Here is a 14515-nt window from a genome sequence, read left to right as displayed (position 1 = left end):
AGAGAACTGGATCTCTTCTTGACAGAATTACAGATCTAGAAGTCAGAAAGCAATTATTAGGTTAATTTTGAAAGGTACATATTACAGATTTTCACGTTTTTAAATTCCAAAAATAAAAACGTTTAAATAAATTTTTAAAAATTAGATGACATTTTTGTAAATCTTATAAACCCCACCTTCTATTAAAAGATAATTCATTGCCAGCTGGGCACAGTGGCTCACACCTGTAATCCCAGCACTTTGGGAGTCCGAGGCGGGCAGATCGCTTGACGTCAGGAGTTTGAGACCAGCCTGGCCAACGTGGAGAAACCCCATCTCTACTAAAAATACAAAAATTAACCGGGTGCGGTGGCACGTGCCTGTAGTCTCATCTACTAGGGAGGCTGAGGCAGGAGAATCACTTGAACCCAGGAGGTGGAGGTAGCAGTGAGCCGAGATCGCACCACTGCACTCCAGACTGAGCGACAGAGCGACAGTCTGTCTCAAAAAATATATATATATATCATTGCAAATATAATTAGCCATCTGGTTTCCTTCAATCTCATAACAAATTTTTAAAAATCAGCCATTTATGCCAGTGAGTAAAATTAATTGTTTACAGTAAGAAAAGTTGTAATTTGTTTTTAAAACTTGTTTTGTTTTTAAAATATTTTCAAAAAATGTGGAAAATATTTAACATGAAAGTTACCCATAATGTGATCACCACAAAACAGGTATTTTAATTTTGTATGTTCCTTTCCAGGTATATCCTTATTATTACATAATTGCAATCATGTATACAATCCACTTACTAATCTGCCTTTTCACTTAAAATGTTAAGAGCATTTTTTCGTATTCCTATGTAGTCTTCTTATAAGTCAAATGTGTCAATGTACAAATAGTAAAACCTCATTTTCAAACATGAAAAATGAACTAATACTTAAAATTTACTATGTGCAGGTCATCTTTGGAATTACTTCATATAACTCATTTAATTTTCACAATAACTCTCTAAGGTGTACCCTTTTGTTCTTGCCATTTTATAGATCAGGAAACTAAGTCAAAGAAGGGTTAAACTACTTTCCCAATCACAAGAATAAGAAGTAGGATTTGAGTACAGGTAGTCGGGCTCCGGAGTCCATGCTTTTATTTGGTAATAATGCAAAGATTAACTTTTTTCTAACCGATTCCACATACATTAAGCAATCTATTGAAAACTGCTTGTCACTGTTGTAATATGACAGTGCAGAGTTTGCATTTTCCTCCTTCTCTTGCAAATCTCCAACTGAAACCCCAACCACAAATGTGGAAGGGCTATAAAAAATAATGGTAATCCAAAATGGATATTAGTGCAGGAATTAATGTAAGAGAAGATGCTGCACATACAACTCTCAAAAACAGCTGATAGACTTCTGGCTATGCTAATATGAAGAAATTGATTAATCTTCTAAAAAAATACTAAAAAGCAAATGCAATTGTCAAAAACAATCATTTCAGAAGTCTTGGAGTTAACCAGAGGAAGATGACAGCTACAGAATACTGCTAAGATAAATTAAGGACTATCTGAACAAATGGAGAGATAAACTATGTTAATGGATTGGAAGACTCAATATTGTTGGGATAGCAATTCTCCCCAAATTGATCTATAGGTTTTGGGACATCCCTATCAAAATTCTGGTAGGCTTTTTGTTGGAATTCACAAGCTTACCCTTAAACTTATAGAGGAATAGAAAAGACCAAGAATAGTTCAGATATTTTGAGTAAAGTTAGAAGTCGGAGGATTAACACTATGTAATTTTAATACTTGCTATAAAAATGCAGTAATCAAAAACATGTAGTACTGGCATAATGAAACGAAGAGTCCAAAAATAAGTTCTTACATTTATGGTCAGTTGATTTTCTGCATAAGTGCCAAGGCAATTCAATGGAAAAAGGATAATCTTTTCATATAGTACTGGAACAATTGGATATCCATATGTGAGAAAAAATGAACTTGGATCCTTACCTCATACCTTATACAAAAATTAACTCAAAGTGGATCACAATCTGAAATATAAAAGGTAAGCATAGGAGAAAGTCTTTGTGATTCAGGGTTAAAAATGTCAAGATAATGACATTAAAAGCACAGTGCATGAGAGAAGAGTAATGATAAATTGAGCATCAAAATTTAAAAAGAACATTAAGAAAATGAAAAGACGTGCACAGATGGGGAGGAAATATTTCCAAATCATTTATCTGAAAAAAGACTTGTATTCATAATATGTAAAGAACTCTTAAGGTGGACGTGGTGGTTCATACCTATAATCCCAGCACTTTGGGAGTCTAAGGCATGAGGATCACTTAAGCCCAGGAGTTCAAAACCAATCTGGGAAATATGGTGAGACCTTATCTCTACACAAAATCTTTTTTAAATATTAGCTGGGTGAGGTGGTGCATGCCTGTAGTCCCAGTTACCTGGAAGGCTAAAACGGGAGGATTTATGTGAGTCCAGGAAGTCAAGGCTGCAGTGAGTGGAGATGACACCACTACCCAGAGTTTGACCCTGTCTCAAAAAAAAAAAAAGGAAAAAAAAACCTCTTAAAATATAAACAACTCAGTGTTTTAATGGGTAACAAAGCCGAATAGACATTTCATGAAAGATGATACATGAATAACAAATAAGCACATGAAAAGATGATCGTCATTAGGAGAATGCCACTTAAAACCACAGCAAGATACTGCTGTATACCCTCGAGAATGGCTGTAATCAATTGGCGTGACCGTATCAACTATTGATGATGATATGGAGGAACTAGAACTTACACACTGCTCATAGGAGTATAAAATGGCATAGCACTTGTAGAAAATAGTTCCAAAAATTCTCAAAAAGTTAAACATATACTTACCATACAACCTGGCAATTCTCCTATTTACTGAAAAGAATTGAAAGCATAGTCCCCTTAAGACTTACATATGAATTTTCATAGCATAATATTCTCATAATAGTAAACAACTGGAAACAGTACAAATGTTTATCAATGGTGCATGATAAACAAAGCATATCATACCCATATACTAGAATACCACTCAGCAGTAAAAAGGAGTGAAATTCTGATGCATGCAACAGTATTGAGGTTCAACTTCAATAATCTAAGTGAAAGAAGTCCAATACAAAAGACTGCATATTCTGTTATTTCATTGATAGAAGATTTCAGAAAATGTTTCTACAGAAACAGAAAGCAGGTCAGTGATGCCTAGAGAAATCAGAGTGCGGACCAAGATCAATTATAAATAGGCATGGGGATATTTCTTGAGTATTAGAAGTGTTCCAAAACTGGATTGTAGCAATCACTGTACAACTGTTGAAGTTTGCTAAAAATCATTCAAGTATACACTTATAATGGGTGAATTTTATGTTATATAAATTATACCTCAGTAAAAGTGTGAAAAAAAACTGGTAAACTATATTTTCAGAGGCAAATGGCACACCCTAAGGTACAAACTTAAATCTCTTGTTTGCAATAGGCAAATCAGTGTGTGCCAGCAGTGAGTGATAGCTTCCCTGGATCTCATTTCCTTTTGGGAAGACAAGGAGGTTGGAGGTAGGATTAAATGGGGTATTACAGACAAACTCTATATGCATAAAACAATTTGTTGTTGTTGTTTTGCCAGAGGGGAAGAAATGAAACTTTGCTTTGTGATTTGTGCCAAAATTGCCTATCTCTGCACAGAAATACAGGTTCAAAATGCACACCAATAAAATCCTGTGTCATCAGTAGAATTCCTAATAGCTTAGAATTGAGAGTTGGCAAACTATGGCCTCTGGCCAAATCTAGCTCCCAGATTGTTTTTGTCTGACCCACAGAATAAAAATGATCTTTACATTTTTAAATGGCTATTTTTAAAAAGAAGATGACGATGATGTGAGATTTTATGTGGCCCACAGAGGTGAAAATACTTGCATCTGGTTCTTTACTGGAAAAGTTTGCAGACCCTTGACTTAGAACATGGTTGTGGCCTGTATTAGTTAGGGTTCCACAGAGAAACAGAACCAATAGAGTGAGTGTATGTGGGGGGTGGGAGGTGGTATATGTATGTGTGTTGGGAGCAGGGGAGATTATAAGGAATTGGCTCAAGTGATTATATAGGCTGACAAGTCCCGAGATCTGCATTGGGCAAGCTGGAGACCCAGGAGAGTATATTTTGTAGTTCCAGTCCCAAAGCTTGGCAAGCTTAACATTCAGGAAAAGCTTCTGCCTCGTTTCAGGTCTGAAGGCAGGAGAAGCTGATGTCACAGCTGATGTTCCCCCCTACTATTGGTGCATTCAGCCTTTTTGTTCTGTTCAGGCCTTTAGTTGATCACATGGGGCTCACATACATTAGGGAGGGGGTTCTTCTCTCACTCTCCCAATTCAAGTGTTACGCAGAGACACCCTCACAGACCTACCCAGAATAATGTTTGACCCAATGTCTAGGCACCTTGTGGACCAGTCAAGTTGACAATCACATGGCCCTTTTATCCCTAAAAACCTGTAAATAGATCCTCTAGGAGCAACTCACCTTCATCAAAGTTGAGTAATCAAGAAGAAACTAGCACGGTATCTCTACAAACATACAAAAAAGGAAGAAAGGAGTGGTAATAAATAGCAGGTGAGACCATTTATCAGAAAAAAATGTAGCTCTGAAATAAAGTAGTATGCAAATATTTTTTCATGAAAAAAAAATTTTTTTTTTTTTTTTTTGAGATGAAGTCTCACTCTGCTGCCCAGGCTGGAGTGCAGTGGCACTATCTCTGCTCGTTGCAACCTCCGCCTCCTGAGTTCAAGCGATTTTCCTGCCTCAGCCTCCCAAGTAGCTGGGATTAAAGGCATGTGCCACCACACCCATCTAATTTTTTTATTTTTAGTAGAGATGGGGTTTTACCATGTTGGCCAGGCTGGTCTCAAACTCCTAACCTCAGGTGATCCTCCCACCTTGGCCTCCCAAAGTGTTGGGATTGCAGGCGTGAGCCACCACACCCAGCCTTTTTCATGAATTTTCTAAAAACTTAAAGCAAGAACTTTTTGCTTCTGTGACAGATTAGCTTACATCCTACCACCTCACCAAGAAGAGCTATAAAGCTGGATTTTAAAAATAATACTATATGAATACCACTTACAGTATTCATCTGTAAGAAGTCATTGGAGTGACAACAAGGAAACCAGGACTTTACTGACCAAGATCCTAAAGAGAAGAATAGTACAGAGCAGTGAGCCCAACATTTAGTGCCACTTTTCCTCTTTAGGCATTTGCAGATATGAAAGCAGAAAAACCTCAGAATCTAGGAAGTTGAACATGGTATTCCACAGTTTTACAAGGCTGGAGAGAGAAAAATGGAAGTGCATTGCCTATCAAGTTGCAGGATCTTTAGTAAATAATTCAAACTTTCAGTTGAACCCATTGAAAGCCTACATTTTAGGAGTAAGGGTGAGTAAGAAACATGAGTCCTCAGTGACTGAAACCCAGTCTCCAAGTATTTCAATCTTTGATCTATCTTTACTCTGATTGCCTACCAAAAGTAAAAGTAAATACTCTGTGGAGGAAGATATTATCCAGAGTCTTAAAATTATCTAAAGTTTGTATACACGATATGTGGCATGCAGTAAAAAATTACCAGGCATATCAGCAAACACAACCAAATCATTGAAAACCAAGAGAAAAATTCAACAGCAAAAACAAAATCAAAAAAGGGAAAATAAAAACCAGGCAGTCAGTAGAAACAGACCCGCAGGAGTTCGCAGTATGAAATTTTTATGAATGGACTTTAATCGTGTGATTTGTTCAAGAAAGTAGACATATGAAGGATTTCAGCAAACAACTGGAATCTATACAAAACTGTCAAATAGAATTTCCAGGAGCAAAAAATTAAATAACTAAAAGACTCAATAGAACATTTTAAAAACAGATTGGAGAGAAACAAAGAAAAGGACTGCATATGTTAAAAAAAAATTTTTTAGACTAAAGTGTAGTCAGGGATTAAAAAGAATAGAAAATATAGAAAGGAGGATCTAAGACATAGAGGATGTGATGAAAAGTTCTAACATACAAATAATTGGTTTCCCAAAAGGCAAGGAGAGAGATGGTGGCAGTGCAATATTTGAAGAGTGTTTATGGCCCAGAATTTTTCCAAACCTATGAGAAACATTTAGCCACAAATTCAAGAAATACCACAAACCCTAAAAGTGAAATAATTAATAGAAATCAGACCCCACTTAGACAAATCCTAGAAAAGCGGCCAGAAACCAACCAACATAAAATTCTAAAAGCAACCAGAGAAGAAAGACACATTACGTTCAAAGGCATGAAACTTCAACTGAAAACTGACCTCCCAACAGAAAAATTAAAAACGGAATTCAGAAGAAAAAGAATGTCCTAAAAGTGCTATAGTAAAATAACTGCCAACTTACAGTGTTATTTACAGCAAAAAATGCCTTCCAGAAATGAAGGCAAAAATTCAGAATGTGGAAAACTGCAGGACAACCTACATTCTTTTTTTTTTTTTTTTTTTTTTTTTTTGAGACAGAGTCTCATTCTGTCACCCAGGCTGCAGTGCAGTGACGCAATCTCAGCTCACTGCAAACTCCACCTACCGGGTTCAAGCAATTATCCTGCCTCAGCCTCCTGAGTAGCTGGGACTACAGGCACATGCCACCACGTCTGGCTAATTTTTTTTTATTTTTAGTAGAGACGGGGTTTCACTGTGTTACCTAGGATGGCCTCGATCTCCTGACCTCGTGATCCACCCGTCTCAGCCTCCCAAAGTGCTGGGATTACAGGTGTGAGCCACCGTGCCCAGCCAGGACAACCTGCATTCTTCAAGTCAAAAGAAAAATAAAGGTGTTGCAGGGGAACCTATAAATAAAATAGACTTAAAAGATGTATCGGGCCAGGCATGCTGGTGCATGCCTGTAATCACAGTAATTTGGGAGGCCACAGCGGGCAGATGGCTTGAGCCCAGGAATCTTGAGACCAGCTTGGGCAACATGCCAAGACCCCATCTGTACAAAAAAATTTAAAAAATAAAAAAATAAAAAATTAGCTGGATACTAATTTTTTTTAGCTGTAATCCCAGCTACTAGGGAGGCTGAAGTGGGAGGATTGCTTGAGCCTAGGAGGTGGAGGTTGTAATAAGCTGAGATCACACCACTGCACTCCAGCCTGGGTGACAGAGTGAAACCCTGTCTCAAAAAAAACATATATCCAGCCATTAAGCTGGGTTTTCTTATTGGTATCATGATTCAGTTTAATAAACAAGTTTTGTGATATGTTGAAGTAACTGGAAACTTGAACTATTACTATTTATGTGATATTAGGAAATTTGTGAAATTTGTAGTATGATGCTATCGTGGTTATATTTTAAAAGAGAGATCCTTATTCTTTAGAGATACATACAGTGATATGTATGGATAACATTGTATGATGTCTAGTATTTGTTCCCGAATAGTACAGGAGGAGGGGATAAGAGAACAGGCGTATAGGCCAGGCGTGGTGGCTCACACCTGTAATCCTAGCACTTTGGGAGGCCGAGGTGGGCTTATCATCTGAGGTCAGGAGTTTGAGACCAGCCTGACCAACATGGTGAAACCCCATCTCTACTAAAAAGACAAAAAATTAGCCGGGCGTGATGGCGCACATCTGTAATCCCAGCTACTGGGGAGGCTGAGACAGGAGAATCGCTTGAACCCGGGAGGCAGAAGTTGCAGTGAGTTGAGAATGTGCCATTGTACTCTAGCCTGGGCAACAAGTGCAAAACTCTGTCTGAAAAAAAAAAAAAGAGAGAGAGAACAGGCGTACAAGTGAAACAAGATTGATGTTGAAGTAATCATTGTTGAAATTAGGTAGTGGGGCTCATGGGAATTCATTTTTATTTTCCTTTTCTGTATATGCTTGAAATTACATGCTATTTTAAAGAAAAAATGACATAAAGACATTTTTGGAGAAAAAAAAAAGCTATTACCAACAGAAATGGGCAATTCTTAAGCCAAGTAGAGAATGTTCACAGAACCAAGTCACTGTAGGTTGTAAGGGAAAAGCAAAGGTAGCAGGAGAATTCAGAGTACTTGATATCCAAATTCAGTGAGCAAAAGGGATTATTATAATAAGACAGGCATTTTTGGGTAGATGATGTTGAGTAATCAAATTTGACAATACCTGTCTGAACACCTCGAATTCTTGGTCCTAAAAGTCATGCATGTCTTAAAACTATCTTTCAGCTTACTACTTTGTATGAGAACTTAAGTATACACAACCAGCAGTTAGAAGAAGAGGTTAAAGATCTAGCAGACAAGAAAGAATCAGTTGCACATTGGGAAGCCCAAATCACAGAAATAATTCAGTGGTGAGTGCTCTTTTAAACGTTTTTTTGTGGATGATTGTGAGTATGTGGCCAAGTTGGTATGAATTCCAGGTGGCTACTAATAATGGTTTTTATCTCATTTGTCAGATGTGATAAATAAGTTACTCTGAAAAGCACAGTTTTATTACTGATCTGTTGTGTTCTACTGTGTTTTCTGTTACATTCCTCTGTTCCCTAACTCTAACAAATGTCCCATACCAGCATTTAACACAGCTTCATTGAAATCTGATTATTATTACTTTCTAAGAAAATGTTACCACCTTCAGAGTCAAAGTTGGAATTCATCTGCTACCTATGGATGTTTCTTTCTAAGACCAAAAGTCCTGTATTTGTGAGTATTTTAAGAAATGGAAGGCCTGCAAAAAAAACTTAGAAGCTAAAGATACTGTACTGTTATCTTGTATCATGATTATACCAGATTAATTCACACATGGCATTTTTAAAACCTTAAATGGTTACATTTTAGTTTTATCAGCTCTTTCTTAAGCTCTTGGGATTTAGTTTGGAATATTCATCTTAGTAACCTTCATATTCATTTATTAAACGATTATTCTGGTGCTGGTAAAAAAATTTCATATTTTAATAATACATGGGGAAAGTAGAATCTAATGAAGACTGTATTTCCAAGTAAAAATAGGTAACTTAACTTTTTATATTTATTTAACTTTTGAAATCCATTTTGGCAAATGGTAGGTGTTTAATTTATATCAAAACAAATACAGGTTGAGCATTCCTAATCTGAAAATCTGAAATCTGAAATGCTTCAAAACGTGAAACTTTATGAGTGCTGACGTGACACCACAAGTAGAAAATTTTAGACATGACTTTGTGATGGGTCACAGTCAAAATGTTGTTTCATACACAAGAAATTATTATAAAACATTGTAAAAAGTTAACCTTCAGGCTATGTTTATAAGATGTATATAAAACACAAATTTTGTGTTTTGTCTTGGGTCCCATCCCCAAGATAATCTCATTATGTATATTCAGGTATTCCAAAATTTAAAAAAAAAACCTGAAATCCAAAATACTTTTGGTCTCAAGCATTTCATGTAAAGGATACCCAGCCTATAGTTTCATCATATATTTATAGATCAGTCATTTGTAGGGAATTTTAATTCCTGTATGCATATTTTGGTTCAAATGTTTTTCCATTAAGAGCTCTTAATGCTTATAATGTTTCTATTCAGTGCATATAAAGGGAATATGCAGATTGTGGAAATTTATTTGGGTTCTAGACAGTACAGTTATTGGTTCATTAATTTATATCTATATCATCAAGTCTGCATTTCTGAAGCAAAATCCATTTTAATGTTTAACCAAGTTTATAATATCAAAAATTATGACTTGATATTTGTGATTCCATTTTTATGTTATCAAATATATATGTAAGGAGGAGCTGAAAATGACTTCAGAAGACAGAGTCAAAACCTGTGATACTAGACTACTGATTTTTTCAAGTGTCTGGCATGATGAGTTCAGCTGGAATGGGAAGTGGTGCTAGTAATGGAAGGAAGCTTTCAATGTGGGCTTTGTAGAAAGGGTTAATAGAAAGGGTGAAGATGAAAGTTTTATATGATGCCACAAAACACTCACTATACACTTTTCACATTCAAACGAAATATGCAGAAATCAGAAATACGAGGAAGTCACTTTGCATGAAAGCTGTTATTAACCCTACTTTTTATTTAGAAATGGAGTAATAGATAGCAGATTGGCAAATACCCAAAGGGAAAAAGTAAAATATATATTCCCTGTTCAACTTTCTTACCACTTCAAAGTTAACTCTGTGAGATACAATATCCAAGTTTATAAAGGTCAGAAGACTGAGTTATTTTCATTTTTTGAGTTTAGTTTACAGATTGAGTATTCCTTATTCAAAATGCTTGGGACCGGAAGTATTTTGGATTTCTTTTGGATTTTGGGAAGTTTGCGTTATACTTAACAGTTCAGCATCCCTAATCCAAAAATTTAAGCATCTTGTCAGTACTCAAAAAGTTCCAGATTTGGAGGCATTTCAGATTTTGGATTTTCAGATTAGGAATACTCAACCTTCTTTTGAAAAATGAGGTAATGCTCAAACAAGATTATAGGACCTCATGACATATAGCACTTTAAATGTTTCCTGGGACAAATGAACAGTTTTAATACAAAACAAACACTGCAGTATATAAAACCTTTTACGAAGTCACTTCTAATGGCTCTTGAACTCCACCTCCTCTCTCTTTTGCTATGAAATATCCCTTTCATCAGAAACTCTTTTAGAGCAAGGACATCTTCTCACCGCCGTTAGAGTAGGAACCTTCCTTCTCGCCATTGGCTCATCAGAGGACTTCACGTTTTCTCTTTGAAATAATATTACAAAGAGAGGTTAGATTAATAGGCTAGTCCATAAGATTTATTTTTTAAATGTGTTTTCCTCACATAAGGCATTCTTCTGGTACAATAAGAGATACAGAGATCTATAAATGTAGTACTTTTCTTTAAGTAACTTGTAACTAAACATTTAAAGTTTAAAAACTATTTTGACCAGAGCTGGAGATAACTTATGAGACTTAAATATAAATGCCTTACATATTGAATAGATACTGACTTTTTAAAAATAAGAATGTAGTGTTGAGAAAATTATCTCAGACTAGTTGCTCAAGAAGGGTGGGAATAATCAGTTAAACTAGACTGTGTGTTCTGAAAACCCTGAGTTTAGTAAAATATCCTACACCTAGTTTGACCAAATTGGAGAATTTTTGTAAAAGAATAGTAGGAAATAAGAGTAATAAAGTTACTGCAACACAGTTGTCATGAATACTAGGTAAGAATTTTACCTTCACTTATTTGTAAGATGGAGAAGGTTTTTCAAAGGTAATGGTGTTAATTAAAATGATGATTAGGCAAATAGCTCTTAACAGTAATGTTCAGAATGAAGTAGAAGGTAATGTTGGAAATAAAGTGAACAAATGCAGGAGACATTGTGAAAGAAAACTCTATAGGACTTAATACTATTTACAAATGAAGGGCAAGAGATGAGGAGAAATTAGTATTCCTGAATTGTGAGTTAAGGAGGTTAAGAAAATGATGGCATCATTGAAGTAGGAAAGTTAAGAGGGGTAACCACCCTTGGGGAAGATGATACAATCAATTTTAGCTGTTATTTTATTTTGTTTGTTGGTAAGACTGAGGTGATCCTGAGACATCTTAGTAGAGATTTCTCATGCTTTTGAAAAACTAACATAAAGATTAGGATTAGAAATGTAAATTTGGGAATTAAATTCCTTGTGAATAAGGCCAGTGAAGTGGTTGAGATCTTTTTAAGGAGACAAGAAAGAAGGAGGATGGTAAGGGCTATATTATAAAAGCTAGATGAAACAGCTCTGTAGAGGAGAACCAGGAGAAGGGTTTAATAATTACAAAGCGTTTCAGTAATGAAACCTTTGTCTCTCTTTATTTAAATCCACTCACATATTTGAAACATTCCTCATTCAGTAATGCTCATTTGTGTATAGTAATAGCTTCTATTGATTAAAACATAAGAGTGTTCTGGTCATTAGGCTGGAAATTCACATGTATTCTTATTTAGTTATTACACCGGTCCTGTGAGATAGATATTTTTACTATCCCCATTTTATAAGTGGGATAACAAAGAGAAGTAATTTGCCCAAAGTTACACAGCTGGTAAGCACCAGAGCTAGGATTTGAAACCAGGTCTATATGACTTAAGAATCAAAGTTCCTAATTACTATATATGCCCCAACTTTTCAGGAACTGTCCCTTATTTGTCTTCTCAATATGCCCAATGCAATAGTATTTAATAAGTATTAACTAATTGATCATTTGAGAGAACTTGGAAGGGAAGGATTAAATGTGCCAAGAGAACACATAGATCTAAGTTGGCCTTCTGTAGTTGAGTTTTAACAGATTAGCTTCAGCAAAATAGTTGAGGCAGGAATTAGACTTCGGGAAGTATAGAGTAGTGAATGGAGGGTTTAATACTAGAGCAATTACACGTATGGAGTGTAACAATGAAAGAGGGAAAATGGGATGTTTGGGGATTTGTCAGTGAGGAGGACAGGGAACTTTTGGATTTGGTAGAGTTTGTACATGTTTAAAGGAACCAATGGAAATAATGAAATTGAAAATATGAGGTGTAGTAGGGAGGGTGATTATGTATAGTAATAATAACTGTTATTAAGAAATATTTGAATGATTTAGCCAAATAAAAGATAAGACACCTACCTCTAAAACTGGTTTTAAAAGTTAAGAGAATGAATATGAATAAACTTAACCAAATGGCCTACAAGCAAGGAGCAAGAGATAGTGTTGGGGCCAGGTGCGGTGGCTCACGCCTGTAATCCCAGCACTTTGGGAGGCTGAGGCGGGTGGATCACCTGAGGTCAGGAGTTCAAGACCAGCCTGGCCAACGTGGCTAAGCCTCATCTCTACTAAAAATACAAAAATTAGCCAGGCGTGGTGGCATGTGCCAGTAATCCCAGCTACTAGGGAGGCTGAGGTAGGAGAATTGCTTGAACCCAGGAGACGGAAGTTGCAGTGAGCTGAGATTGTGCCACTGTACTTTAGCATGGGCAACGGAGCAAGACTCTCTCAAAAAAATAAATAAATAAGAGAGAAAGATAGTGGTGGGGTTGGAGAAAGTAAGATTTTTTTTTAATGAGGTGGAAAAATAGACAAATAGCAATGATTATGAGAAGGAGTTGTGTGAGACTTAGAGTACAGTGGAACTTAAATGGCATGAGTTGCCCTCCAAACCAGTAATTCTCTATAGCCAAGAAAAAGAGAAATAGGTTTAATCAAAAGTTAGGAATTAGTGGAAGACTGCAGTTGTAAGGTGTTCAACATGTAAATAAATGTGTTCAACATGTAATGTGTTCAACATGTAAATAAAAAGCAAAGTTAGAAAAAAGAGATTGTCATATAAAATTCCAAATAACTTAAAGTCAGTTTACAAGAGGTTGATTTCCAAAGTTAATTAAACACATTGGACTTCACAGTTTCTTGGAAATGTGCATAAACTAAGATCTCTGAGCCATGGTAGATACTAAACCAGCACTAGGTGAGACCTGTTAGCCTGGGCACTTAAAGGATAATACAGTTTTCTTTATTGTTACTATATAAGTATCTTTTTTGTATTCTAAAAAAGATAATCTTCCTTCATCCCAATTTATTCTCTACACTATAGATCAGGTAATTAAATGAAAAGATTACAGTCACTTGTAGTCAAAGAATTTTAGAAGGACACAACCCTTGCTACACAAACATTCTTAAAATAATTTCCAAAACCATTTTTCTTTAACAGGCAATAAAAATGTGTACATGTAGATAGAGCCTAGGAATGTGTAACTGTCCCTTACCATGGTTTTATTGCATCTCCATATTTTCTTTTGCTTATACTCCAAAGACAATCTCCCATCTAAGAGGAGAGAGCAACAAGCCTCTTTTAAAGGGCCTCTTTAAGATATATATAAATTTGACTCCTCAGGAGTTTACATTCTAAGAGATACTAAAGCAGAGCTCAGGAGTTAAACATGTCTGCTGTATGCATCGGATACATGCTGATTTACCTGAAATATACTTTCCTCATAGCTTCAGTGACCTGGATTTTATCTGAAGACAACCAGCCTGCACAAAGACAAATTGTCTTCCCCAAAGTGTGTTTAGAATACACTTGTGAGCATTGCAAATTTCAACTCCATTTTTTTTGTTTGTGCAGTATGGCTTTCTGTATACCAGTGGTTTTCATTCTTCCTGAGAATAGGACCTTCTTTTTTAGATTCTTGTAGATATGCTGGACTCCTCCCCTCACCTTCTCCCCACTTGAGGGAAGTGTAAGAAATGCAGACGTTTTCTTGAGAAATTCTAAAATGTGGAATTTGTCTTACTAAATATAATTTGAAAACTTTCTGTCTAAAATTATAATTGTATCGTTAGCTAGATAGCCTTAAGACAGTAAGTAGAAATTAGGTTTTGGTAGACTTTAATCTTCCCTCTTTGTTATTTTATTGATCATTTCAGAAAACAGAAGAGCTTAATTACAATATAACCCTGATTTTTGCAGAATATCCTACATTAAACTTTCTAAATTTAATATACACTTCAGTTTTAAGAATGGTATGTTGTTTTTATGATATAAAATGGCAGAATCCAATTGAG

General features: G+C 35.8%; 1 protein-coding gene across 25 annotated transcripts in view; it reads left to right on the top strand.

Annotated features, from left to right (window-relative positions):
* Window positions 1-14515, top strand: part of CDC42BPA (CDC42 binding protein kinase alpha) — a 328635-nt gene that overhangs the window by 229265 nt on the left and 84855 nt on the right. For all 25 annotated transcript variants that reach the window (NM_001366011.1, XM_017002580.3, NM_014826.5 and 22 more), the window contains one exon: window positions 8211-8335. In NM_001366011.1, the coding sequence (NP_001352940.1) occupies window positions 8211-8335 (125 nt within the window). The remainder of the gene's footprint in view (window positions 1-8210; window positions 8336-14515) is intronic.

Source organism: Homo sapiens, chromosome 1 (genome assembly GCF_000001405.40).
Source record: "Homo sapiens chromosome 1, GRCh38.p14 Primary Assembly".
In the NCBI taxonomy this organism is placed as follows: Eukaryota; Metazoa; Chordata; class Mammalia; order Primates; family Hominidae; genus Homo; species Homo sapiens.
Note: the sequence above shows the minus strand (reverse complement) of the source record. Positions and strands in the feature narration are given on the sequence as shown.